At 38.8% G+C, this 26,508-nt stretch overlaps 1 annotated feature.

Moving 5' to 3' along the window:
• Positions 2,256–2,851: an enhancer, noted in NCBI's record as "NANOG hESC enhancer chr11:15363023-15363618 (GRCh37/hg19 assembly coordinates)". NCBI's record gives its function as "activates a minimal SCP1, AML or CMV promoter by ChIP-STARR-seq in naive H9 embryonic stem cells {active_cell/tissue: H9 hESC(naive)}" and the evidence as "EXISTENCE:reporter gene assay evidence [ECO:0000049][PMID:30033119]".

Consider the following 26,508-nt stretch of genomic DNA (forward strand, 5'->3'; position numbering starts at 1 on the left):
ATAAGTAAATATTTGTGTGGGAGCTTATGCCTCTTTGTAGGTCCCTAAGAACTTGAATCTGGGTGCTTCTTTGTTGGGTGTGTATATATTTAGTATAGTTAGGTCTTCTTGTTGAATCGGACCCTTTACCACTATGTAATGCCCTTCTTTGTCTTTTTTGATCTTTGTTGGTTTGAACTATGTTTTGTCTGAAGTTAGGATCACAGCCCCTGCTTTTTTCTGTTTTCCATTTGCTTGCTAGATTTCCCTCCCTCTCTTTATTTTGAGCCTATGGGTGTCATTACATGTGAGATGGGTCTCTTGCAGACAGCATACCATTGGGTCTTGCTTTTTTATCCAACTTGCCATGCTGTTCCTTTTAAGTGGGGCATTTAGCCTGTTTACATTCAAGGTTAGTACTGATATGTGTGCATTTGGTCCTGTCATTGTGTTGTTAGCTGGTTATTTTTTATTTTTTTATTTTTTTTTTTTTTTTGAGACGGAGTCTCGCTCTGTCGCCCAGGCTGGAGTGCAGTGGCGGGATCTCGGCTCACTGCAAGCTCCGCCTCCCGGATTCACGCCATTCTCCTGCCTCAGCCTCCCAAGTAGCTGGGACTACAGGCGCCCGCCACTACGCCCGGCTAATTTTTTTTTTGTATTTTTAGTAGAGACGGGGTTTCACCGTTTTAGCCAGGATGGTCTCGATCTCCTGACCTCGTGATCCGCCCGCCTCGGCCTCCCAAAGTGCTGGGATTACAGGCGTGAGCCACCGCGCCCGGCCTGTTAGCTGGTTATTATGTTGGCTTTTTGTTTGGTTGCTGTATCATGTCACGGTCTGTCTGTTTAAGTGGGTTTTTTATTAACTGGTAGTGGTCTTTTCTTTCTATATTTAGCACTTCTTTCAAAATCTCTTGTAAGGCAGGTATGGTGGTAACAAACTCCCTCAACATTTGCCTATTTGAAAAAGATCTTATTTCTCCTTTGCTTAGGAAGCTTAATTTGGCTGGATATGAAATTACAGGTTGAAGATTTTTTTAAGAATGTTGAATATAGGCCCCCAATCTCTTCTTGCTTGTAGGGTTTCAGCTGAGAGGTCCACTGTTAACCTGATGAAGTTCCCTTTGTAGGTGATCTGCCCTTTCTCTCTAGCTGCCTTTAACATTCTTTCTTTCATTTGACCTTGGAAAATCTGATGATTATGTGTCTTGGGGATGATCTTCTTTTGTAGAATCTTGCAGGAGTTTCTGTATTTCTTGAGTTTGACTGTTGGCCTCTCTGGCAAGGTTGGAGAAGTTTTCATACACAGTATTCTGAAATGTTTCCCAAGTTGTTTGCTTTCTCCCCCTCCTTACAGGGATGCCAGTGATACATAGATTCAGCCTCTACATAATTCCATACATTTTGGAGGTTTTGTTCATTTCTCTTTGTTTTTTTTTTCTTTATTTTTATCTGACTATATTATTTCAGAGAGCCAGTCTACAAGTTCTGAGATTCTTTTCTCTGCTTGGTTTATTCTGCTGTTAATACTTGTGATTGCATCGTGAAATTCTTGTATTGTGTTATTCAGCTCTGTCAGATTCATTAGATTCTTCTTTATACCAGCTATTTTGTTCTTCAGCTCCTGTATTTTTTTATTGTAATTCTTAATTTCCTTGGATTGGGTTATTTCATCCTCCTGAATCTCAATGATCTTCATTCCTATCCATATTCTGAATTCTATTTCTGTCATTTCAGCCAGCTTCTCACTGGGGATTAGTCCCTTTTATTGGGCAGGTCTTTCTTCCTGGATTATGTGCCAGCTTCATTACATTTAGTTAATGCTTACTAAACATGCAAGAGATCCTGAACCTCTAATCTATGGGAGCTATATGTAACCATAATAATATAAGTACTACAATGCCTCATTAATTTGAACTCGAAAAGATTCAGAATTGGAGTGAACTTGCACTATAATACAGCTGAATTTACATTTTGATTGTTTCTGAAGACTGACCAACCACATGAAAAAAGTGAAAGGAATCAAGAATAAGCATAAGAACCACCTTAAGATGATCCAATCCCATGATTTTTGAAATGCTATTTTTTTCCACTTAAATATAATACTGGAAGCCACTTTAAATTATTGTTTGAAAGAGAAGGAGGAAAAATGGAATGAAATCAGTAAATTTATCAGACATGCTATTTATTCATTAAAACAGGTTTTGAAAGGACTTAAACTAGGCAAGCCTTAGTTACCCTAGTCTGGGGTTCCTCTAAGTTTTGGAATAAATAATTGTGTATTTATACTCACAGCTTCTGTAATTCCAATTGTGCCTGAAGTGAAGAACTGTGGCAATCCCTGATATTAAGGGGCAATTAATGAAATCTGGAAGGTGCAAGGCTCTGGACTTCCTACAGTGGCCTTTGCCTTCTTGAAGGTCTCATAAAGGTCTCATAATATTTTCCCAAGTCTGTTTTTGCCCTCACAGCTGAGGAAGCCCATCCACCCCTTCAGGGGGGCAGTGGTGGGAGTGATTTTCACCCCGTTTATCTCTTCAATATCAGCAATTTCTGTGTTCCTAACAGCAATGGATGTCATGCTGGGTAATCCTCTTCCTGTTGTGAAAGGACCTGAGCAATTACCAGTGAAGTATTCAGGAAAGATCCAAGGGAAATGATAGCTAATGATGCCTTTTATCAGACCCACCAATATTTGAGCAAACATGCTTTGGAGAAAATAGAGATTGTATTATCTTTATGGGTATACAATGAATGTTGTGTTATAGTATTTGAATGTGCATATGTGTGTGTGTGAATCTATATGTTTTAAAAGTCTTATCAGTATTCTTTTATTAAGAAATTCACTTTATTTTCAGGGCAACCTTTATCTTGTCAGAGAATCAGAGAAGATTAGAAAAAAATTGGCTTTCTAACTTTTCGTATGTTACACCCCTTGCAGTACTACTATCCCTTCTCTTCAGAGCAATCAGAGTGGTCTTTTAAAAACATAAAACAGATTATATCATATCCTCCATTAAAAATCTCCCAATGACATCCCACTGTACTTACAATAAATGCCAAGCTGAGGCTCACCTTGGCCTTAACAGGGCCCTGAACGACCTGGCCCTGCCCACTTCCCGCCTTCCCTTTGGCCAGCCTCATCCATGCTCTGGTTCATTTGTTTCTTTCTGGTCTCTAAACATGCAGGGCCTGTTCTCATCTCAGAGCCCTGTTAGTCCCACCTGCTGGTCCCACTGCCTGCACATGCCCTCCTTTCTGAAGTAGAAACCACCCATCCAGTTACTCTGTTTCACTTTTCCTTGTTGGATTGTTTTCAAAGCATTTGTCACTCTCTGAAATAGTCTTGTTTGTTCATTTGCTTAATGTCTGCCCTGACTCAGTGTAAGCTTCCTAAGGGGGAATCTTCTTGTTTTATTCACCACCACATTGCCAGCACCTGGAAGAGTAGCTGGACACTAACAGGTGCTCCATATATTTTTGAATGACTGAGTGAATTAGTGAATATAAAATTTGGCTGCCACCTCCATCTGCTATGCTTTCCTCGGTCTAGTTTTTCTTTCAGGATTCTAATACAACTTTGGAGGAAGCTACCAATTGGTAGATCAAGTTGGAGTGAGTGCTATGTGGGTCAGGGAAATCTGGCTCAGAAGCCAGCTAAGGCAGGATGCATCAGGTACATGTAGGCATTTGGAACTCAGGGGGCTGCACCGTAAAAGGTATCCTCTTATCCTCAAGTTTGAGATGTGGGTGTCAGGAAGCTTCTGAAAGAGATACTCAGTGGACACTCAACAGTTATACATTTGTGCTCTGCCAACTGAATGAATGATTGCCATGAACACAGGAAACTCCTGAGAGCCTCCTTTAGCAGGGAAGCCCTTTAATTGTATTTCTAAAATATCATCTGCCTCTATTCTGACACTTCTGTTTCCACTGCACTGCCTTAGCTAAGGTTCACTTTATCCCTCTCCCGAGGAGATACTGAAGGATCTGTCTTAAAAGCAAGTGCCAATGGTGAAAATCCCCTACTTACTCCTCATTGGAGAATATGGGAGTCCCAGCCTAGGGCTGCGGAGGTTTGCACAGATGTTAACTATCAGATAGAGATAAAAAGGGTGTTTGCTGCCCTTTTAATCAATTGATGACCCTTTATAGCAATTCTTCTTGTAGACAGTGACCCTCTTTTATTGCTAGCTGCCAAAGACAATTTGCTGTATACTCATCTCCCCCTGCCTGGAGTCCCAGATTTACTGCTTTGCACCAATCTAAACAAAGTGGCAGATAGTAAAGCATTTCACCATTATTCAACCTAGAAACTAAAAACTTTTCCAGATAAAAGAAAACGGAGAGAGAGACTTAGGCCAATCTAATTCAAAGGCTCTTAGGAAATGTCATCGACCTCATGGAGCCTGTAGGAATCACAGTGCAAGAACTCAATGTCATGTTTTGCTCCAAGAAATACCATTAGAATAAAGGCTTCTGGGCCGGGCACGGTGGCTTATGCCTGTAGTCTCAGCACTTTGGGAGGCCAAGGCGGGCAGATCACCTGAGGTCGGGAGTTCGAGACCAGCCTTACCAACATGGAGAAACCCCATCTCTACTAAAAATACAAAATTAGCCAGGTATGGTGGTGCATGTCTGTAATCCCAGCTACTTGGGGCACTGAGGCAGGAGAATCGCTTGAAGTCAGGAGGCGGAGGTTGCGGTGAGCTGAGATCATGCCATTACACTCCAGCCTGGGCAACAAGAACAAAACTCCTTCTCAAACAAACAAAAACAAAAACAAAACAAAAAAAAGAGAGAGAAAAGGCTTCTATAAGTTGCCTCTATAACATATGGTAGAACAGTTATAAGGAGAGACAAATGAAGCAAGGCTACACATGATTTTTGCCCTTTATTTGAAGATTTTTCTTCACTGAGGTCTTATAGATAAGATTTTCTCTTTATAAACTTTGCATTTTGTAAAATATATTATTTGTCTATGAGCACAGAAAAAATTCATCCAGATAATCCAAGACCAAGGATATTTCTTAGATTAATGTCTTTTTCCATATGAGCATCAGCAGATGAGAATAAGACTCAATGTACATAAATACCACATGTCTGTAGAAAGGCATTTCCTGAACTAGAGACCCAAAGGACACACTTTCCAGGATATTAATGTCACAGAAAATGTTTGGTGCACCATTAAGTCACATTTACTGTAATAGAAGCTCCATGAGAAGAGGGACTTTGTCTTTTTTTACCACTGCAGCTCCAGCATCTAAAACAGGTCCTGACACATAGTAGGCACTCAAAATATTTATTATTAAATGAAATGTTGCCTTAAACTAGTTTAACCAGGTTTCTTTACTGCAGGACTTTCCAGAGGCTTATCATGCTAATATATGTAGTGAAGCTCCAAGAGGAGGTGCTGGCATAACTTATTTCTCAAACCTATTTGAACATGGGTCACCCCAGGACATATCTATTCACACCTAGTGGCACTGTGTTCCATAGAAGTTTGGGAAATGCTGAGTTAAATTAAAAGGACAGGTAAAAATATCTAAGGCAAAAGGGAGTACAGGTAGTTAATCCACAATTTAGGTTCTGTTACAACTTTTTGCTGACTTACATTCTTTGATCTTTGAATACAGGAAAAATGAAGAAGAGGATGGAGGAGAGAGCATGGGTGGGAGGAGAGAGAGGAAAAACAGAAAGGAAAGACAAAGAGAGAGACAGAGAGAAATGACCATTTGAGATGGAAGAAGTGGTACTCTGAATTGCAGGAAAAAATTCAGATTGTGCTGGGCTTTACTGGCAGATGATTGGCAGCTGGAAGCTTCTCGTGGAACCTAGTGATGATAATTGCCCACAGGCTGGATTTATCTTGTAAAGACTTGCTTGAAGCCTTATCTGCTCAATTGGCTGTGACCAGGAAAGAGGACACTGATGGTTAGATCTGTTCTCTTTTTTCAATATGGGTTCATCCACCCATCCTTTCTACCCTGGGACACACATTAGTGAATGGTCTGGATTCGTTACTACAGAAGAAATTAGGCACAGATGAAGAATAGGTAATACTGCAGATTTTGGAGACAAGCCATTGGGTTGATGGTGAGTATCCTGTGTGGTCTTGGACCTATTAACCTCTCTGTATTTCAGTTTCCTCCTCCAAAAAATGGAGATAATAATAATATTCACCTTATAAGGTCCTGAGTGTCAAATAAGGTGATACATATGCATTTATTACAGTGCCTTGCACATGGGAAGTGCTCAAATGATAATTATTGGTATCATTAGTAATAGTAATTAAATATAATATCTGGGTATTCTGTTAACTCATAACTTATATTTTAATTTATTTCTATGAACCTCATGTATAGCATTATGTAAGTAGATTTTGTAAGTTATTTCTTTTAATACAAAACACTTATTACAAATTCTACTTGCTTAGAAGAATTTGCTACATGGTTTTGAAGGTGGGTATCCTTTGAGGAAACAGCACCTCTTGCAAATAGAAATATTCCCCCTGACCTTACATTATTCGTTCCTCTCTCTAAAGAAAAGAAAATAATGCCTATCCTGGAAGAAAAATTTAGACTTGCATCTCAAGTGAGTTGCTTAATATCCCATCTCAATTTTACTTTTTGCCCCCTTTTACCTTGTGCAATATGTTCCAAAGCCAAAAGTCTCTAACTCCAATTCTCCAGGCTCTGTTCTACTGTATGAATAAAATGTAGCACAGCAGGAAAAAATGAGCCCTTTCTATACCTCATTTTCTAAAGCAGGGTGGGAGAAGGCGTCTCTCACCTGTTATGCACACCTTTGGCTCCTAGGTCATAATTACACCCGTCAGCTGGCCTCGCTCCATTTTGATGGCTCAGCCCACCTACCTGGAGGGGTTCTTTTAACTTAGGACTCTAGAAGGAAAATAAAAATGGTGATGAATGACTATGTACAAGGGTTGAATTATATTTAATTTAAAAAGGCCGGGCACGGTGGCTCACGGCTGTAATCCCAGCACATTGGGAGGCCGAGGTGGGCAGATCACCTGAGGTCAGCAGTTTGAGACCAGCCTGGCCAGCATGGTGAAACCCCCATCTCTACTAAAAATACAAAAATTAGCCAGGCTTGGTAGCAGGTGCCTGTAATCCCAGCTACTCGGGAAGCTGAGGCAAGAGAATCACTTGAACGCGGGAGGCAGAGGTTGCAGTGAGCTGAGATCATGCCATTTCACTCAAGCCTGGGCAACAAAGCAAAACAAAACAAAAACCACCCAAAAAACAGTTTAGGTCCAATTGTGTATTTAGTCCACAAATGCTGTATCTCAAGTACCTAGAGCAATGCCTGGCATAGAGTAGGCACTCAATATCTTTTTTGAATGACTAAATATTAAATCTAAAATTTAGTACCATTTTTAGGGTATAAAGAAGAAACCAAACAAAAATGAGCCCTAAGTTCCACACCCAGATAACCCCTACTGCCCCATATGAGTAATACATAAATAAGATTGGAAAAGTTGAACTAAACAGAAATTATTGAAGCAAAGCCTTCCATTTCCCTTTCTGCCCCTTATCCCGTCTTTAAAGGTAATCATTGAAAACAATTTATTCGATGGTGTTTCCCTCAAAGCAATTATTTGTGTAAGGGTATAGATGAATACACAAGGCCACATTATTAATATAATGGACAACAAACACAAAAGCAGAGGTTCTCAAGGTAAAGTCTGACAACCCACATGAAGCCCAGCTGCCTCTGAAACACCTGGTTTGTCTGTTAACAGTACAGACTGAAATAGACATTCTGATTTGGTTGGTCTGGGCATGCCCAGGAATCTGCATTTCATGAAGCATCTCAAATACGTATATTCTATAACTGTAAAGTTGAAGGATGTGGCTCATTAAGGATCTAATGAAGCTCAAGATGATTCATGTTTTGGCACCAGACCCCACTTGTTGTGGAATTGGTGGAACTCTTAGCCAACTGTTAACCAGCTCTTAGATGAAGCAACACATCTCTGCTGTGTGCAGCAGCTGACTTTATCAGCAAGCTTCCATCTTATCCAGTTATCTCAAAAGCCCCTTCCCGTTCCGTGTCTTCTATCGAACTAGTTGAACTTGTTTCTTCATTGTAACAGACATGGCTATTAACTGCAGATAGTCTTAGTCTTTCTCCCTTCAGCTGCTTGATTGATGTCTAGCTTCATGTTTCTAGCTGTAGCTGTGGCTACCCCTGTTCTTGATGGTTCTGCTGCATAGAATTTAAAGCTCTTCTTCCTTAGGGACCTCATTCTGAAAAATGTCTGCTGATTATGACCATAGCGATGTCTCTGCCCTTCCCTCTGTCCCTTTCACTCTTGATCAGGGGGAACTGTGCCCAAGTGTGGGCCTGCCTTTCTCTTTTTGATTCTCAGGTAGTGAGAGCTTTTATAAGCTATCTTGGATTTTTAGGCAGAAAAGGATCACATGTAGGTTTTGAGATTGTTGAAAAATTCTTCCCCATTCTGTAGATGCCATGAGTTCCATGCATTGTGTTATTAAATGTGGTCACAAAAGCAGGAACCCAGGCTTTTTGCCCTCTGCTCAACTCTTTGAGGGCAGTCTCTGCTTGGCCTCTTAGATATCAGGTAATGAACAAGATGGAAGGGGAAAGAGATGACTCTGCCAGCTGATGTTTCTAGACAGATCATCAACATAAAAGGGGATGGAGTTGGACACTGAATATCCTACCAAGGCAACCCATCCAGCAGTGGGATAAACATGACCAAAGAAGAGTGCCCTTTTCTCCAGGAAGATTTTGATGATATAAGCTGACTTATGTTGGAAAAGGACCACTCTGATTACTGTGTTAGGAATTGGAAGCAGGGAGACCAGTTGCAGGGTATTATGGTGAGAAACTGAGATTTGCCAGTTTCCTACCAGACTCACTAGAGATGACTGGCTCACACCAGGGTGGTAGCAGCAGGGGAATGAGAAACAGTTGGAGGCAACCCAGAAACTGCATGATTGCTTGAGGTACACAGCCACCTGAAATTCACAAGCCATCAGATTCACCCCATTCACGTTTCTGTTTCTATTTCACCTCAAAGGTCCTTAATCACAAGATCTCCTGAGATCTTCCTCTAACAAGCTGAACAATGTCTGGACGAGAGTAAAACATCTGGTACCCACAACTACCCAAGCAGTTTTGATCATTTGAATCCACAATTTCCAGCTTTTGGGCTGTGTTGGTGCAGGCCTGTGGTGTGGTACACTTGAGAAGCACTGTGCTAGGGCTGGAGGAGCTGGTTTCTCATCCTAGTCCTGCCCCTGACTGTCATGCACCTTGGATAGGGCCCTTCTCTGGCCCCACCCACCCTGTTACAAAATGAGGAACATGGAGGATGTGGTTTCCAAGGCTTCTTCCACCTCAGACAGGCTGAAGTTCTTAATTGACTGATCCCTGGCTCCTTGATGAGGATTACAGGAAGCTGTCTGGTTTTCTCTTTTCTCATTCATTTAAATTCTGAGTTTTAACATATGATCAACTTCCCTGAGAATCTGCATGTCAAGTTCAAGAGAGAGTGACTGCATTTAATGGGTGTCACTTTTGGAGCTGTTGCTCTGCTTTTTCTCAGAGAGCAGTCAACTCAGTTCCACTTGGAACATCACAGCCGCAAATTCCCTGGTTTGGAGAAAGCATTTTCCTTGCATGTTTCATCTGGTTCAGGCTCTGGAAGACTCAGGGGGTCTGTGAGCCTGCCTTAGGACATGCCTATTTACACTACTGGTTTCTCCTTGGACATGATTGGAAACAATCTCTAAAAGCTTTGGCCAGCTTCCTCTTTAGTTTTTGCACAGCATCCCACAAATGAATATTGTGCAGCTCTGTGGGATGCTAAGTGCCTCTTCCAGATCTGTGAGTGCCCAAGTCTGCCCAAAACCAATGTACATGGACTGGTGAGCTGAAGTGTCCAGGGGGTAAATATGAAGGAAGCTTTCCTTCTTGGCAGGCTTTTCTCATGAGGCATTTCTCAGGAGAGTTTTTCCTCTCTATTCAAGAGAGAAAGCTTGTAGTATTGTTTACACCAGAAAGCATCTTTGTAAATGTAGTCTGCAAATTGTGGAGGCCGATTTCCCCAGGGAGCAGAAGCCATAGCTGATGAGGCCACCATTAGCCAAAACCAAGGACCATGTCTGTTAAACAGTTCCAGGATGTTTTTGCAGTGGCAGTCTGGCCAACACTGACTGAAGAGTCAGAGGACCAGGAAAGTTTGGTGAATCAGGCTTCATAACATCTCCCTTTGGTGGTTCAGTGGTCAGACCTCCCCAGAGTTCAGAGGTTGCCCTTGCCACCCTGACTAGGAGCCCAGTTGCAGCTATTACACTTGCAACCCAATACCAGCTAACATTTAACGAGCACAACACTTTACCTTATATTACCTCACTTAGCCACTCCTGTCATTTTTCCACTTACAGATAAGGACACCAAGATTTATAGATGTAGCTATGTAAGTGGCAGAGCTTGGATGGTCTGAGACCCAATAGCCTGAGCTCTTACCAACTTAGCTGTATTGACACCCTCAGTCATGCATCACCCAGAGAAAGGCACCTAGTCCTCTGCTCTCCCTCATGGGCTCTTATTGCAGAGACAGGGCCCACAGACCACAATGAGGAATAAAGTCATGTGGAGCCAGTGATTAGGAAGGGGTCAAAAGAATGTCAAACCAAGTGTAAAGTTTGGAGGTAAAGGAAATTCTGTGTTTTCAAATATGTTTGCCTAATAGTTAGCAAATCTTTTTTTTTTTTTAATACTGGGAACATTAAACCATTTTTTTTTATTATACTTTAAGTTTTAGGGTACATGTGCACATTGTGCAGGTTAGTTACATATGTATACATGTGCCATGCTGGTGCACTGCACCCACTAACTCGTCATCTAGCATTAGGTATATCTCCCAATGCTATCCCTCCCCCCTCCCCCCACCCCACCACAGTCCCCAGAGTGTGATATTCCCCTTCCTGTGTCCAAAGACTTGGAACCAACCCAAATGTCCAACAATGATAGACTGGATTAAGAAAATGTGGCACATATACACCATGGAATACTATGCAGCCATAAAAAATGATGAGTTCATGTCCTTTGTAGGGACATGGATGAAATTGGAAATCATCATTCTCAGTAAACTATCGCAAGAACAAAAAACCAAACACCGCATATCCTCACTCATAGGTGGGAATTGAACAATGAGATCACATGGACATAGTTAGCAAATCTTTTAAGTTAAAAATTTTTCCCTTCTCTTTTAATTCCCCTGATTTTTATTTCTAATTTTGTGTATTATATTGTGTTTTATTTATTTTATTCAGGAGTAAGTAAGCCAGTGACTTACCAATTTTTTTCCCTAAAGAAATAGCTCTTGTCTTTGTTACTTCAATTCCTACTCTATTTTCTAATTTATTGTGTTCTATTTTTATTTTACTAATTAATTCTTTTTATTTTACTAATTCTTTTTTCTAGTTTAATTTTACTAATTAATTAATAAATTAATTTATTGCTTTCTATTTTTATGTTACTAATTCATTATTTTATTTTACTAATTCTTTTTTCTGTGATTCAGATTCATTTCACTTTATTTTTAATTTGTTTAATTTAGTGCTTAATTCATTCATTTTATTCTCATTTAATAATATAAGGTTGTACGATTATGAGTCTTTTTGCCTGCACACTTCTGACTGTATTACAATGGGTCCAATATGTACAGATTCCACTCTCCCTTATTCATTGAATAATCTGTGTTTATTGAGTCTTACGATGTACCAGACATTACACTAGTGGCTGGAGATATGGTCGCTAGAAATTCCTGCCTTCATGGGGCTAATTCAGGTGAGGAAAAGAAAATGATCAAGTCAATAAATAATGTCAGGCAATGATAGAGAGAAGAAGGAGAGTGATGAAGTGATAACTTGACATTTAAACAGAGATCTGGAAGAAGTGAGAAATATATATGAAGGAGAGGGATATCTCAGATAAAGGAGACAGCAGAGACAGCACATATAAATGATCTGGTGCAGGAACATGCTTGGTGTATTCTAAGATCCCCAGAGAGTACAGTGTGACTGGGGCAGAAAAGACTTAGAGGGAAGTGGTAGGTGGGATCTGGAGAAGTGTGCAGGAGCAAGGTCATTTGCAGGTTATGTGCAGCATTATAGGGCATGGCAAGGATTTTGGATTTTATTATAAGCGTGATAGGAAGATGGAGGATTTTGAGCATGTGACGGATGTGATCTAACTTATGTTGATAATCAGTTTATTAATGTATAAAGCTCACCCATTTTAAGTGTGCAATGTGATTAATTTGGACAAATACTGTTGTGTAAACACCAACATAATCAATATCAAGAACATTTGCAACACCTCAGAAAGTTTCCTTGTGCCCTTTATAGTAGATCCTCATTTCGACCCCCAGTCTTAGGGAATCATATATCTGTTTTAACTAACTATACGTTTATCTTTTTAGAATTTCATATAAATTAAGTCATACACAAAGGTCTTTTGTGTCTGACTTCTGTCACTTAGCATAATAATCTTGAGATTCATCTATGTCCTTTCCTCTATCAGCTGTTAGTTTTTGTTTTTCATTGCTGAGTAACATTTCATTGTATGGATATACCACAATTTGTTTATTCATCTATCAGTTGATGGTGATTTCAGGTTGTTGGCTATTATGAATCAAGCTGCTATGAACATTAATGTAAGAGGCTTTGTGTGTGTATATATATATATATATATATATATTTTACTTTCTCTTAGGGGTATATGCGGAATAGTAGTGGTGGGTCATATAGTAAGTATATAAGTTTTAAAAAACTGCTAAACTCTTTTCCAAAGTGTCTGTATTTTTCTGCATTCCTACCAGCTGTATGTGAGAATTCTAGTTGTTAACAGCTAACATTTACTACGTCTAAGTGTTAGAACTCCTAACGCTTAGTTAGGAGTCTTTCTAATTTTCGTCAACAGGGTATGTATTGGTATCTTATTTTGCATTTACTTTACATTTCCCTTGTGACTATGTTGAGCATGTTTTCATGCACTTATCTTACCACTTGTATATCATTTCTGGCAAAGTATCTGTTCAAATATTTTGCCCATTATTTTATATAGGTTGTTTGCTTTCTTATTATTATGCTGATTAATTTAAAAATTTTAAACTAATCTTACATTTTCATGATAAATCTCACTTGGACATGATGAATTGTTCTCTTTATATGTTGGTGTATTTGATTTGATAAGATTTAGTAAAGGATTTATATATTTGTTTATGAGAAATATTGATCTGTGGGGCTTTTTTGAGTAATTTCTTTGACAGGTTTTGTTTTCAGGTAACATTGACTTCATAAAATAATCTGAAAAGCATTACCCCTTTCTTCTATTTTCTGATAGAGTTTGTGAAGAATTGGGTTATTTTCTACCTTAAATATTTGATAGAATTATCAGTACATCTAATAGGTATAGAGCTATTTAGATTATCTATTTCTTCTTGAATGAGCTTTTTTTGTTTGTTTTCCTTCCAAGGAATTTTAAAATTTCACCTAAGCTGTAGAATTTATTGGTATAAAGTTGTTTCTAAAATTCTCTTATGATTCCTTGTAATGTTTATAGAATGTGTATATTATTTTCTTATCTATTCCTGTTTTAGATTTATTTTGTCTTCTCTCTTATTTTTTGATTATTTGGCTAAAGTTTAATTGGCCTTTTCAAAGAGTGAGCATTTGATTATCTTTTTCTCTATTTTTTTTCGGTATGAGGTCATTGGTTTTTACTGTGATCTTTGTTATTTCCTTTATTCTACTTACTTTAGGTTTGATTTGTTCTTCTTTTTCTAGTTTCTTAAGCTAGAAGCTTAGATTATTGATTTAGATTATCCTTATTTTCTAACTTTTGCGTTGTAATGCTATACATTTTGCTCTAAGGGCTACTTTAGCTGTATCCCACACATTTTTTGTATATTGGATGTAAAAATTTGTTTGTTTCAAAATACGCTGTATTGACTCAAAAGGAAGATTGATGTCTTTTTCAATATGGCCAATTAAAAAAATCAGGGGTATTTGAAAAATTATCCTGTGTGTCATCTAGAAGCAATGTAATTAATGATCATACAAATCACCCATTGCTTTTGTAAGCCCAAAAGTTGTAGGCAAAACTTTCTGGTAAATTATATAGTTTATACTCCATGGCTACAACTGAAAGCTAGTACTTTGAATTAGAATAATCTTTTAAACATAATAATGCCAGCAATAGATAGGAAATTTCTGAAACATGAGCATATGTCACACATAAAGGTGGTAAAATGTGACATTGGTAGACACAAGAAAGGCTTAACATTTAGCAAACACCTACTATGTGCCAGGTCTGGGCCAGGATTATACTGATCTCATTTAGTCACTTTAGTAATTCTAGGTAGGTATTTAGACATGAGGAAATTGAAGCTTAGAGGATAGAAACTACTTTTCTAAGATTATATATGATTCAATCTCAGGGTGGTCTAATTTCAGATACTACTCTTTTTAATACTTACGTGGAAATACAGAGTCAAGAGAAGAAAATAGAGCAATAACACGTATCATAAGTAAAAAAATTCATTATTATAAATTATAAACTTATATAGACATTTTGTATATATAAAAGTACTTGATATGTCAGAAGCACTGGTTATTTAGGCAAAATATTTTATCTCAAATTTTTTCTTCTAAGATTAACTTATCTTACATAGAGGCAGGAATTCTATTCTTTTTTCCCATTCTAGGTAAATTCTTCTGAAAAGTACTCAAATAATATAAAATAGTGATCTTCCAAGATAGAGGAGGACCAATTTTTTTTAGGGAAAGGAGTAAGAAAAGATAACATTGAAAATTTTAATATTTAAATAAACCAAGTATTATACCCATTCTAATTATTGGCTATGCGATATTGGACATGTTAGTAGAACCCTATGAATTCCAGTTTTATCATTTGAAAGTTAAGCATTTCTTGAGTAACTTTATATGCCAATATCCTGAAGTAGCACACAGTATAGCTCTTCACAGGTTAGTAGAAAGGTCTTTGTTAAAAGGCTCTTACCCTAACCATTGCTTTGTTACAAACGGATTATATTCTGCTCCTAGTACGTGACTTATTCTTTCCCTTTGTGCCATTATTTTTATCCTGTATGCACTTAGAGAAAGCAGAATAACGTGAACCATCTAACACTTTTAAAAGAGAGGTTTTTTTTTTTTTTCATTGCAACCACAAATATATGGATTGCCAGAGAAATGCCTCATTTGACAGTTGGAAGTCAGGTACTAGCTTTGCCTGGGAGGCTATCAGAGGCTCCTCAATTGCTTCTCCTTCTGTCCCAGTTGCATATTTATCTCAGGGATAGCACCCAGCTTCTAAGAAAAGGGAATTACGAGGTGGAACTTTGGGGGTTCCGTGACATATGGGATTTACTTTCTCTGGGTGAAGTAACAGGGCAGTGAAACCAACATGAGAGTGCAAACTCTCAGAAGACAATTTTACCACCCATATATCTATTGATTCATTTAGCCTTTATTAAATAAATATTTACTGAATGACTACTATGTACAAAGAACTGTGCTAAGTGATAGGAATCAGCAGGTGACAAAACAGAAGAAACACCTGTCTGCATGAAGCTTTTATTCTAGTAGTTTACAATAAATAAAAGATATTGGGGGGCTAAATTTAAGCTAGGCATTATTCAAGTACTTTAGGCATATTACCTCACTATTCTCATGGAAACCCCCTAAGGTCAGTACTACTGATGTCTCCATTTTACAAAGAAAACCGAGGGCAAGAAAAGTGAAGTAACATACTCAAGATCAGCAAGCTAGAAAGAGGCAGAGACAGGCCAGGCGCGGTGGCTCACGCCTGTAATCCCAGCACTTTGGGAGGCCGAGGCAGGTGGATCATGAGGTCAAGAGATCCAGACCATCCTGGCCAACATGCTGAAACCCCGTCTCTACTAAAACACACACACACACACACACACACACACACACACACACACACAATTAGCCGGGCGTGGTGGCAGGCGCCGGTAGTCCCAGCTACTCCGGAGGCTGAGGCAGGAGAATGGCGTGAACCCGGGAGGCAGAGCTTGCAGTGAGCCGAGATCACACCTTTGCACTCCAGCCTGGGCGACAGAGCGAGATTCCGTCTCAAAAAAAAAAAAAAAGCAAAAAAAAAAAAAAAAAAGAGGCAGAGACAAAAATCTCACTATCTAGCAGAAGAGATAACGTGAATTGACATTTATAACATGGATAGAAATTGTGGAAGGTGAATAGAGATCATATCTAATTGAAGATTCTGGGGAGATTTTCATGAAAGAAGTGACATTTGATTTGGGGTTAGGCAGGTGGAAATGAAGAAAGAAGAAGTAAGGGAAAAGATGAGTAAAGGTGCAGAAATTTGAAAGCACAGAATCCAGTCAGTTTGACTGAAGCTGAGGGTACACAAAGGGATTAGTGGTAATTAAGGTTATAGAAATGACTGAAGCTGCAAAACTCCTCAACAAAATGTTGGCAAATTATGATCAATAGTGTAGTGGAGATACTACCACCAGCTTACTACAGGAGCCTACACTTTAATCATTTGAACATTTAATATATAATTGTATCAGATTTCCAAAACACATTTAATGAAAGTTCACAACCATTTTAGACTAAAAAAAAAGAAAAAGAATAAAGACCTATTAGTAATGAAGTATACAGTGATACATTCATGTAAAACATCTACCCTAAACAAACATCAAATGGACAGAGAAGTACGACAACACAGGTTTCTCATTTTCTCAATATTTTTCTGCTTAGATATGCCTGAAAGATACAATAAGCTTTATTGATAGAGGATCATTATGCAATGATTCTAAACTGTGAGTGACACAGCTTGGAGAACAGCTTATCAAGATCTCATGGAGAGAGGAGTATGATAACTCTGTTTTCATGTCCCTAACCCCAAAGTTTTTTATGCAGCCTCCCAAAGGTTATGAGCCCTTGGTTGAGAAACACTTCAATTACCCCAATAAATAAGGAATACTAAAATAATGCTCACTATCATCACTCTTATTCCATTTGTTTGAAAAGTTCTAACATGCAGCAATAAAAGAAAAATAAGTATAAATATTAGTAAAGAATAAAGATTCTTGGAAAACTCATGAACTAAAAATGAAAAATACCACTCAAATTAATACAAAGATCTTCAACAGAAGGTCAGTTATAATATGAGAAAATAGATTTCTTAGGTACCAGAACAAAGTGTAGTGAAAAGAGCTACCATTCACAAGAGTAAGAAAAACTTTAAAAGACCAGAAGTGATATTAAGAATAATTTTGCAGGCCTTATATGTGAATGAAACCACAAAACTTTACTAAAGAGAATAAAAGAAGCTCTGAATAAATGGAACAGCATTATGTTCTTAGATAGGAAGATTCAATAGGAAAAGAGCCAACTTTTTAAAAATTAATCTATAAGTTTAACTAGCTCAAATTCAAATACGAAAGAGAGGGCTCTGTTTCTGAAACTTGACCAAATTATTTCACAGTTCACCTGGAAGAATGTATATAGATGGATACCAGGAAAATTTTGAAAAATTTGAATGACAAAGGTAAACTTTCATTTCCAAACATTAATAAGTATAATATCATAATAGTTTCAATGGTTTGGTTCTTATTCCATGATAAGAATGGCCACATAGAATCTCAGAAATGTACCCAAGTAAGTAGTAAAACTTAGTATATGATAAACATGATTTTTCTAATCACTGAGTAATTAGATGGATTTTTCAATAAATAGTACAGGGTTAAATGTTGGGATATCTGCCAATTTTTTTGAGAAAAAAATGTCAGGGTTCCATTGGATATTGTGTTTTTTTCTGACTCACACCATTTCTTGATCTAAATATCTGACAAGGCATGTGTGGTGTTATGATATATGTTGTTTTTCATTCATGGTGCCTGGCTCATAACTCCCATAGCCCTTGTTATAGTCTTTTGTTATGATGTTGGGTGTGTTAGGCCCCTGACTCTCTCCTGCCCTCCTTTCACTCTCAAGTTCCCCTGCCTTTCTGATTGTCCATGAGAGGGTCCCACCCTATACCCTGGGGGAAGGAATGTTGATGTGATGAAACCTCTATTAAAATCCAAGAGGAAGGGTTTGGTGAGCTTCTGAATAGCTAAACACATGGAGGTTCTTGGAGGGTGGCATGCCCAGGTAGGGCATGGAAGCTCTATGCCCCTTCCCCTATACCTAGCCCTAGACATCTCTTCATCTGTATCCTTTGCAATATCCTTTGTAATAAACTGGTAAACAAAAGTGTTTCCTGAGTTCTGTGAGCTGCTCCAGCAAATTAATCCAACCCAAAGAGAAAGTTGTGGGAGCACCAACTTGAAGCTGGTTGGTCAGAAGTTCCAGAGGCCCAGACTGGCAACTGTTATGTGTGTGTGGGTGGAGGGGCAACTGTGGGGACTGAACCCTCAATCTGTGGGATCTGGAACTATCTCCGGGTAGACAGTGTCAGAACTGAATTGGATGATACCTGGCTGGTGTCCGCTGCTTGGTGATGGGGAGAGATGACCACATATTTAATCACATTTAATCACAGATGTTTTCTTCTGTGTCGATGATGTGTGATGAGGTGTGAAAACAGAGGAAAAACATGGTTTGAGGAGAGTTTTCCCTACACAGCATGAAACTGCTGATTTGCTTTGATGAGGACTGAGGCAAAGAACTAAGTCTATGGAAAGGGTCTGTTGGTAGCAGCAGAGGGGACCCACTGAGAAAACCAAACTTATTCTTTCTGGATGACCTGTCATTTTTATCCTAGTTTTATGAATGATGCTGCTGAATGGCACTGGTACCCTGACTGATGTTGCCTGTATTCGTGGTTTCCAAATGCTGGTGTTGGCTATGAGAGAATGTTTACTCTGTGGCAAAATGGAAAAGTTAGGACAAATAGTGTTTGTCATAATGCAAATCTTATCCAATATAAAAAATTATCATTTTTCAAGATGTGAGTAGATGTTTCTCCAAGATATACAAATGGCCAATAGGTATTTGAAAAATGCTCAACATCATGAATCATCAAGGAAATTCAAATTAAAACCACAGTGAGATATCACCTCACATCTGTTAGAATGGCTGTTACCAAAAAGAGGAAATGTAACAAGTGTTGGTGAGGCTATGGAGAAAAGTGAACCCTGGTGGGCTGTTGATGGGGATGTAAATTAGTACAGCTATTATGGAAAACAGTACAGAGGTTCCTCAGAAAATTAAAAACAGAATCATCAGATGATCCAGCAATCCCACTACTGGGTATATATCCAAAGGATATGAAATCAGTATTTTGAAGAGATATCTTCACTTCCATGTCCATTGCAGCATTATTCACTATAGCCAAGAGATAGAATCAACCTAAGTGTCCATCAATGGATGAATGAATTTTTAAAATGTCGTATATGTACACAATGGAATGCTATTCAGCTTTTAGAAGAAGTAAATACTATCCTTTCTGACAACATGAACGAACCTTAAGGACATTATGTGATGTGAAATAAGCTAGGCACAGAAAATAAATACCACATTGATCTCTTATGTGGAATCTAAAAAAGATGAACTCATAGAAAAAGTAGATGGTGATTATCAGAGACTGAGGAGTGGGAAGATTGGAGAGATGTTGGTCAAAGAACACAAAATTTCAGTTAGACAGGATCAATACACTCAAGAGATCTATGTACAATATGTGTGAATATACATCACGGTGACTATAGTTAATAATAATATATTGTATACTTTAAAATCACTGTAAGAGTAGATTTTACATGTTCTCACCACAAAAAGATAAGGATGTGAGGTGCATATGTTAAATAGCTTGATTTAGCCATTCCACAATGTATGTATATATCAAAATATCATGTTGTACACTATAAATACATACAAATTTTACTTGTCAATTACAAAAATTAAAAAATTATTCTTTTTTTGAAATTGTATTCATCTTAGAGATTGGTGATAAAAATATTCTTCTGTGAAATGATAGATTAGTATTTGGTGGCTTTTCTTTATTATTAAATATGAATGTATGTACTAAGATAAAAAATTAAAAAGTTGAAAACCTGGCATCAGTTCCTCCAACCTAATTGTTTTTTATTTTAGTGGCACACATATACTTACAGCTCCCAAGTCTATGTAACACAATGCAGTACTAGTTATACTGAGTTTGTATGGATCAGAGAATGAAGTCATCTTAGAATTTTTTAGATTTTAGCCACTAAGCACAATCTCTCTGCTATGTCATCTCTTCAGCAGCTCCTACAAAGGACATCCCATTACTTATTGAATAGGAGGCTCATTACTTCTCACAACACATCCTCTGCCATTTGTAGACATTTCTACTTCGGAAATTTTCCTGTGGGACAGCAAAAAACGTGACTTCTTTCTTTCCCAAAAGACAGCCCTTCACTATTTAAAAGCAACAGCCATATCCTGCCAAGTCTCATCTTCTCTATGTAATATCACATCCTCTCTCATTTCCTTCTACCAGTTACCATCTGCCGGTGCCAGTGCCTGTGGATCAAACACCAACAACCTTGGATCATTTGGCAATCACATCATATAGTGTTGCCTATCAAGCTTATAGTTAACTAAAACAGCTTAAGCTTATTTTTTTCCTCACAGCGACTATTTACCTAGGCATTCCCCACGTCTACCTATGAGTAGTTGACTTTTTGAATCTTTTGAAAACTTCACATTTATCCCTGTCAGTTGATACTGACCTATATTTCATTCAGTCATCTGGCTACCCTCCCAACTTTTTGTCATCCACATATCTTGATGAACATGTTGTCTGTGTGTTTAAGATACTGAAAAAAATATTAAATAGATTAGGGCCGAGGACAGAGCCCTATTGCTAAGAATGACCACAAAATTCAATGTCCGTTTAAATGGTGGTCCCAAGCACAAATACTCTGTTCTGTTATCTTCATTTACTGGTACAGAACAAAAGTCAACGGCCATAGCATTCAGCTAGAGATTTTTATCTGATAGTCATTATCACTATCAATAAAGATGTTTAACCAGCTACTGAGCAAATTCCCACTGTTTCTAGATTGCAGACATACCACAATATACTTTGTCACACACCTGACTGAAAATAAGCTAGACTTGTTCTATTGATAACTCAATTAAAAAAAAAAACATGAAATTTATTTGATAAGAGTTGTCTTTGTGGGACCTGGCCATTGTTGCTTATTTTCTCAGCTTTCAAAACCATTGATTTAATAATCAATTATTGCTTTACTAGTGGTTGATTAACTAGCTTCTAGTTTCTAAATCTGCCTTCTGCCTTTTTATAAAACCAGCACAACATCATTTGTGCATGCATGTATTTACTCAACAAATATTTATTGTGTGCCTGTTATATGTCACGTACTGTTCTTGGCAATACAATACAAGTGTTATCATTGTCTTCATTCATCTTATCGTTAAGCACCTTTCATTTTTATTTTTTTTTTATGATTTCTTGAAAAACACTGACAGGAAGTAGTTCCATCCACATATTCTCCAAGGCTTGGAGGCTTTGTATCACTGGCTCTGGTTGGCAGCTTTGATTCTTCTGGCATCATAGCCTTATGGTTTCTTTCCTCCACCTTCTATCTCTTTTCATCCTTTCTTCTTTCTCTCTCATTTTCTTTTCCCCATACTTTCTTTTCTTCCTTAACCCCTTTCAGGCTTGGAGACTCCCTTCCCAATATCTGGGAACAGGGCTAATCAGTTGGCGTTGCTAGAGTTGGCAAGGGATCTCTGAGGATTGCACACTTGCTGGAAATGGGGATGAAGTGGGACTAGGATTAAATATTGGAAGTCTCAGGCACCATCTATTATTTATTTATTGTTCAATTGGTCAAAAAGGGATAGGAAAATGGAATGAAAACTGTCTTGTAAATGGATAGGACCAAAGCTGATGAAGCCAGAATAATCTCTCTCCATTAATTCTTAGCATAGTTAGCCATTTCCCTTGGTTCTCTGCAACTCACACTCTTTAAATAACAATTAATAGGATAAACATTTCCCTCCCTGTAGTGGTGTGCAGTAAAGGATAATAGTAATTTATAATACTTGCATCCAAGCCATTAACTCTCCAGGATTTCCAGCATGAAATGGCAATTATTATTTAAGTGGGAACTCTCAGGGCACTGGTGCAAGAGGTGGGTGTTTCATCCTCACATGCCTTAGCTGAGATGAATTTTTGTTTGTTCCATATCCTCAGCCTGGCACACTGAACAGACTGTGTTAGGGCTGACTCTACGTTTAGCTCTGGTTGCTTCATGATGACAGTCACATGCTTACAGTGAAGATTTTGGAATGAATGGGTCGTTGTGTCTGGATTTCACCAATGTTTGCAATTTTCTGAAAAGGAAAAGCATGCTGCTTTTCTAGAATGTTTTTTGTTTTTTGGTTTTACTCCCAAATCCTTAACTTTCCCACTGGAGTAGAATCCATATCTGCGGGCTTGTGCTGTACATACACATATACACCCCAGAGCTGTTGGGCCTGGAGAATACCATTAATAATGCAGCCAAGTCTGGGTGCTTTTTAAAAGTCTATTTCTTGCTTATAAATAAGTGGTAATTTGTTTAAAACATCATTACACACAGTGTTCAGTCAGATCCCATGCATTCGATTATTTTAAATAAATGGACCATAAATGGAACAAGTTCTTTCTAATTTACAAATGATAGGAAACATTTTTCAAGAAAAAAAAAGGAAAAAGGAAAAAATTTGTTCTTAACTAGATCTCATTAATGTAGAACTGTTCAATGACCTGTAAAGATTAAAGAATTAGTGAATTGGTGGAATTATCAGAATGAAAAATCTGTATAATTTTTGTTTCAATTTGAAAATCTACTAAACAGTCTAGCGACTTTAGTCTCGGATATTACTTTTTAATATCAGTTCCTACAAATGCATTGGCATCAGGGTTGCAAATGAGCTGAATGAAAAGCAACAAATAGTGTGTTTAAATTCACGGCACAACAGAGGAGCTAAGTGGGAAGGAGGGATGCCATGGGGGGAGGGATGGGTTATTTTTTTCCCAATAAAACAACTGAAGACATTTAATTAAGTGACCACTCTGCTAAGTGGAGCAAAAATTAATATAAATGCATTTATGTCCAAGCAATGGTGCATAATTAAGAAGTCGGCTTCAAATAGAGAACCAGAGATGGAGCTATTTAACCAACATTGCCAGAACAATTTCTTCCTAAAATTGTTCTGGTGATCATAAACAGGAAGAAAGATAGCAGGAGGGGAGTGAAGAAAGTCTTGCACATTGAATAGGACTCAGAAGATGAGGCCATCCCCACTGATAAGAGTCTGTTCATAAGGGAAGGGTGGCTTAAGGGTCCCCTTCTCCTCCTTCCTGGATCTGCCCACTCCAACCTCCACCTCATTGTCACTCATGCCTATCTGCAAGGGAGGTCTCTCTTTTGAACTCCCCTCACCAGTCCCTGTCTGCTTTGGGCCAATTTAAACATAATTTTTAAATCTTTTCTGCTGGATGATAATCCTTTCAAAGTAATAAATTATCTCTAAGGTCTCTCAGTGACCATCATCATACTAAGATCAGGGTAAAAGCACAATGAATGTTTTTAATCTGGGATTCCAGGCATCCCCAAAGACTTGGTGGAGGCAGTTTGTGCTAGGGCTCTAGCTGACTGCCTAGAAAAAAAAGGCAGTCAGCTCTGTTGGATGCCTTTCACCTCTTCTTTTTTTTCACTGGCCTAAATATCTTCTATTGCTTCTTGATCTACTCACCTCTCCCTCCACTCCACTCTGTTCTCTGGGGGTCTGGCCCATCGAAACTGCAACAGCTCCCTTGCTTCTGGAGGCAGGAATGAAGCAAGAGGAGAGTGGGGTCAGAGATTTATTCCCTGATCCTCCCTTCTGGATGGAGGTAGGTGGGCTGCTTTCCATTCCTCTTCTCAAAAGACTGTCTCCATGGAGCCATGCTTTTTGATTAATCACTCCCTTCCCTTTTCTCTTATGGCCTAGAGATGATAGTGGCTCTTAGCTGTTATCAGGTCTAGAGTACTGCACTAGCCCTTTTCCTTAAACTCTGCCCACACCCTTAAAAAGAGTTCTTTTGTTAAATCCTCCTTTAGTTACCAGTTGCAATGTGCTGTCCCTTTGCTTCTAGGTCCCTGACTGATGCCACTCTTTCCAGGTCATGCCCTTTGGTCATTTTTCTCCAGCTTTACAAACCATGACTATGCTTAATAAGGACAGTGCCTGAATCCTGAATGCACAGGTCTCCTGGGAAGGCACATTGGGTCTCATGGGAACAGTCGAATGGGCCCACAAGTCACTTGGGCTTGTCCATTTTGGAACAATAAAAACATGTTAACTAATAGCATGGAGAGACAGAAGCTTCCACGTCTTGTCTTCAGTGGAGACAGGCACACTCTGAGTCTTTGGAGTTGTGAGGCTGGAACACAGGTGCCTGAGTTTGGGGACCTAATCAGCTGGTGGGCTAATTCAAGTAGGACAAGTGGTAATAACTCACATCTCAGTGACTCTACAAAGTACTTTCATTAGCATTGTTTTCTCACAATTGCTCAGTGAATTATCTAGTGCAATTATTCTCAACTGCAGTGACTTTTTCCCCAAGGGAACAAATGGCCATGTCCATAGACATTTTTTATTGCCCCAATCTGAGGGGTATGCTGCTGGCATCCAGAGGGTAGAGGCCAAGGATGATGCCAAACATCCTACAACGCATCGAGAAATTCCCTACAATAACAAATTATCTGGCTCCAAATATAAATAAAGCAAAGGTTGAGAAATCCCAAACAGTGTTTTGTTTCTGCTTGAGGGATCAGAAGAAACCTGTGAGAGTATCTTTTGGAATTGATCTGTTAGATTCAGTGATTCAGAGTATTCTGGGTGAAAATTCCTCTAAGGGAGACCAAAATTAGTGTAGCCAGAGCAGGAGGCCAAGGAAGTGGCCCTGAGCATCGGACCTCAGAGATGAGGCCCCTGAGCACCAAATGTCAATGCTACCAGAGCCACATCGGTGTGGGGGCCGAAACTTAGAGCTCATGCAAAAACCTGATATCCTGTTTTTACCACACTCCTTGGCCTCTGTGCCCTATCACCCTCAATTTTGTATTTATGTATGTATGTATGTATTTAAGATGAGAGTATTTGGATTTGAGAAGGAGAAAGGAGGCTTCCTGACATGTAGGCTTTAGGTCTGCTTCTTGAGGCCAACTGCCATTTACACTCTGGACACATGGAATGGGAGTGTCTTGCTGAACATTTCATATATCCTTTCTCATGGGGATTCTGAAGCAGGATTAGTCTCCTGTTGTGGTGTTTCTGGAAATGTAGATACTGTGCACATAGTCCCCAGATGACAATGATTCTCTGCATCTTCATCACATTACTTGTCCATTGTGAAAGACAAAACTAAATCTGAGACAATTTAACCAAGGCTGTTTATTCTTAAACTTGCAGCGAGGAAATTCATTTATGGTCACTTTCATTTCAGCATAGAATTAGTGTTAGAAAGAAAAGCAAGACTTACAGAGTTTAAAAAAAAAAAAGACTGAGGTGGACTCTGATTGTCAAGCATTCTATTAAAATAGGATTTTTGGAAGCAGAGAAGACCTTTTAACTGGTCTTCCGGTAGATTTAATAGGTTGAAAAAACAATCTGGGGACCTTTCAAAACAGGAAGTATTATTCAGTGTTAGCAGTGGGAGATTTTCTGTAGATGGCCATTTTCTGGAACAAGTTGGGGATTGACAAGTGTTTCTTTATGGCCATACTATCAATAATGGTTCTTATGGGGGAGAGGGTTGCCATGGAAGACAGTTTCTTACTTTCATGCGAGTCCGTGTGAAGAGACCACCAAACAGGCTTTGTGTGAGCAACATGGTTGTTTATTTCACCTGGGTGCAGGTGGGCTGAGTCTGAAAAGAGAGTCAGCTAAGGGAGATAGGGGTAGGGCCGTTTTATAGAATGTGGGTAGGTAAAGGAAAATTACAGTCAAAGGGGGGGTTATTCTCTGGCGGGCAGAGTGTGGGTCACAAGGTACTCAGTGGGGGAGCTTTTGAGCCAGGATGAGCCAGGAGAAGGAATTTCACCAGACAGTGTTATCAGTTAAGGCAGGAACAGGCCATTTTCACTTCTTTTGTGGTGGAATGTCATCAGTTAAGGCAGGAACCGGCGATCTGGATGTGTACGTGCAGGTCACAGGGATTATGATGGCTTAGCTTGGGCTCAGAGGCCTGACACTTACCACGTAGGTGGGTCTGACAGCTCCCTTGGGAATCTTGAAGCCAGGTTTTCTCCCTTTAACACATGGAAGCTATTTGCGCTTCTAGAAGATGCTGGCTAGCTTCTGGCTTGGTATATCTCCCATTCTTACCTCTGCCTGTGGAAAGGGCCTGTTTTCTCAATTGAAAATGGTTTATTCTTCCATTGATGGCTCAGATGGTGCTGTAAGGAGTTATATA

The sequence above is a fragment of the Homo sapiens genome, chromosome 11 (assembly GCF_000001405.40).
Source record: "Homo sapiens chromosome 11, GRCh38.p14 Primary Assembly".
NCBI classification, from domain to species: domain Eukaryota; kingdom Metazoa; phylum Chordata; class Mammalia; order Primates; family Hominidae; genus Homo; species Homo sapiens.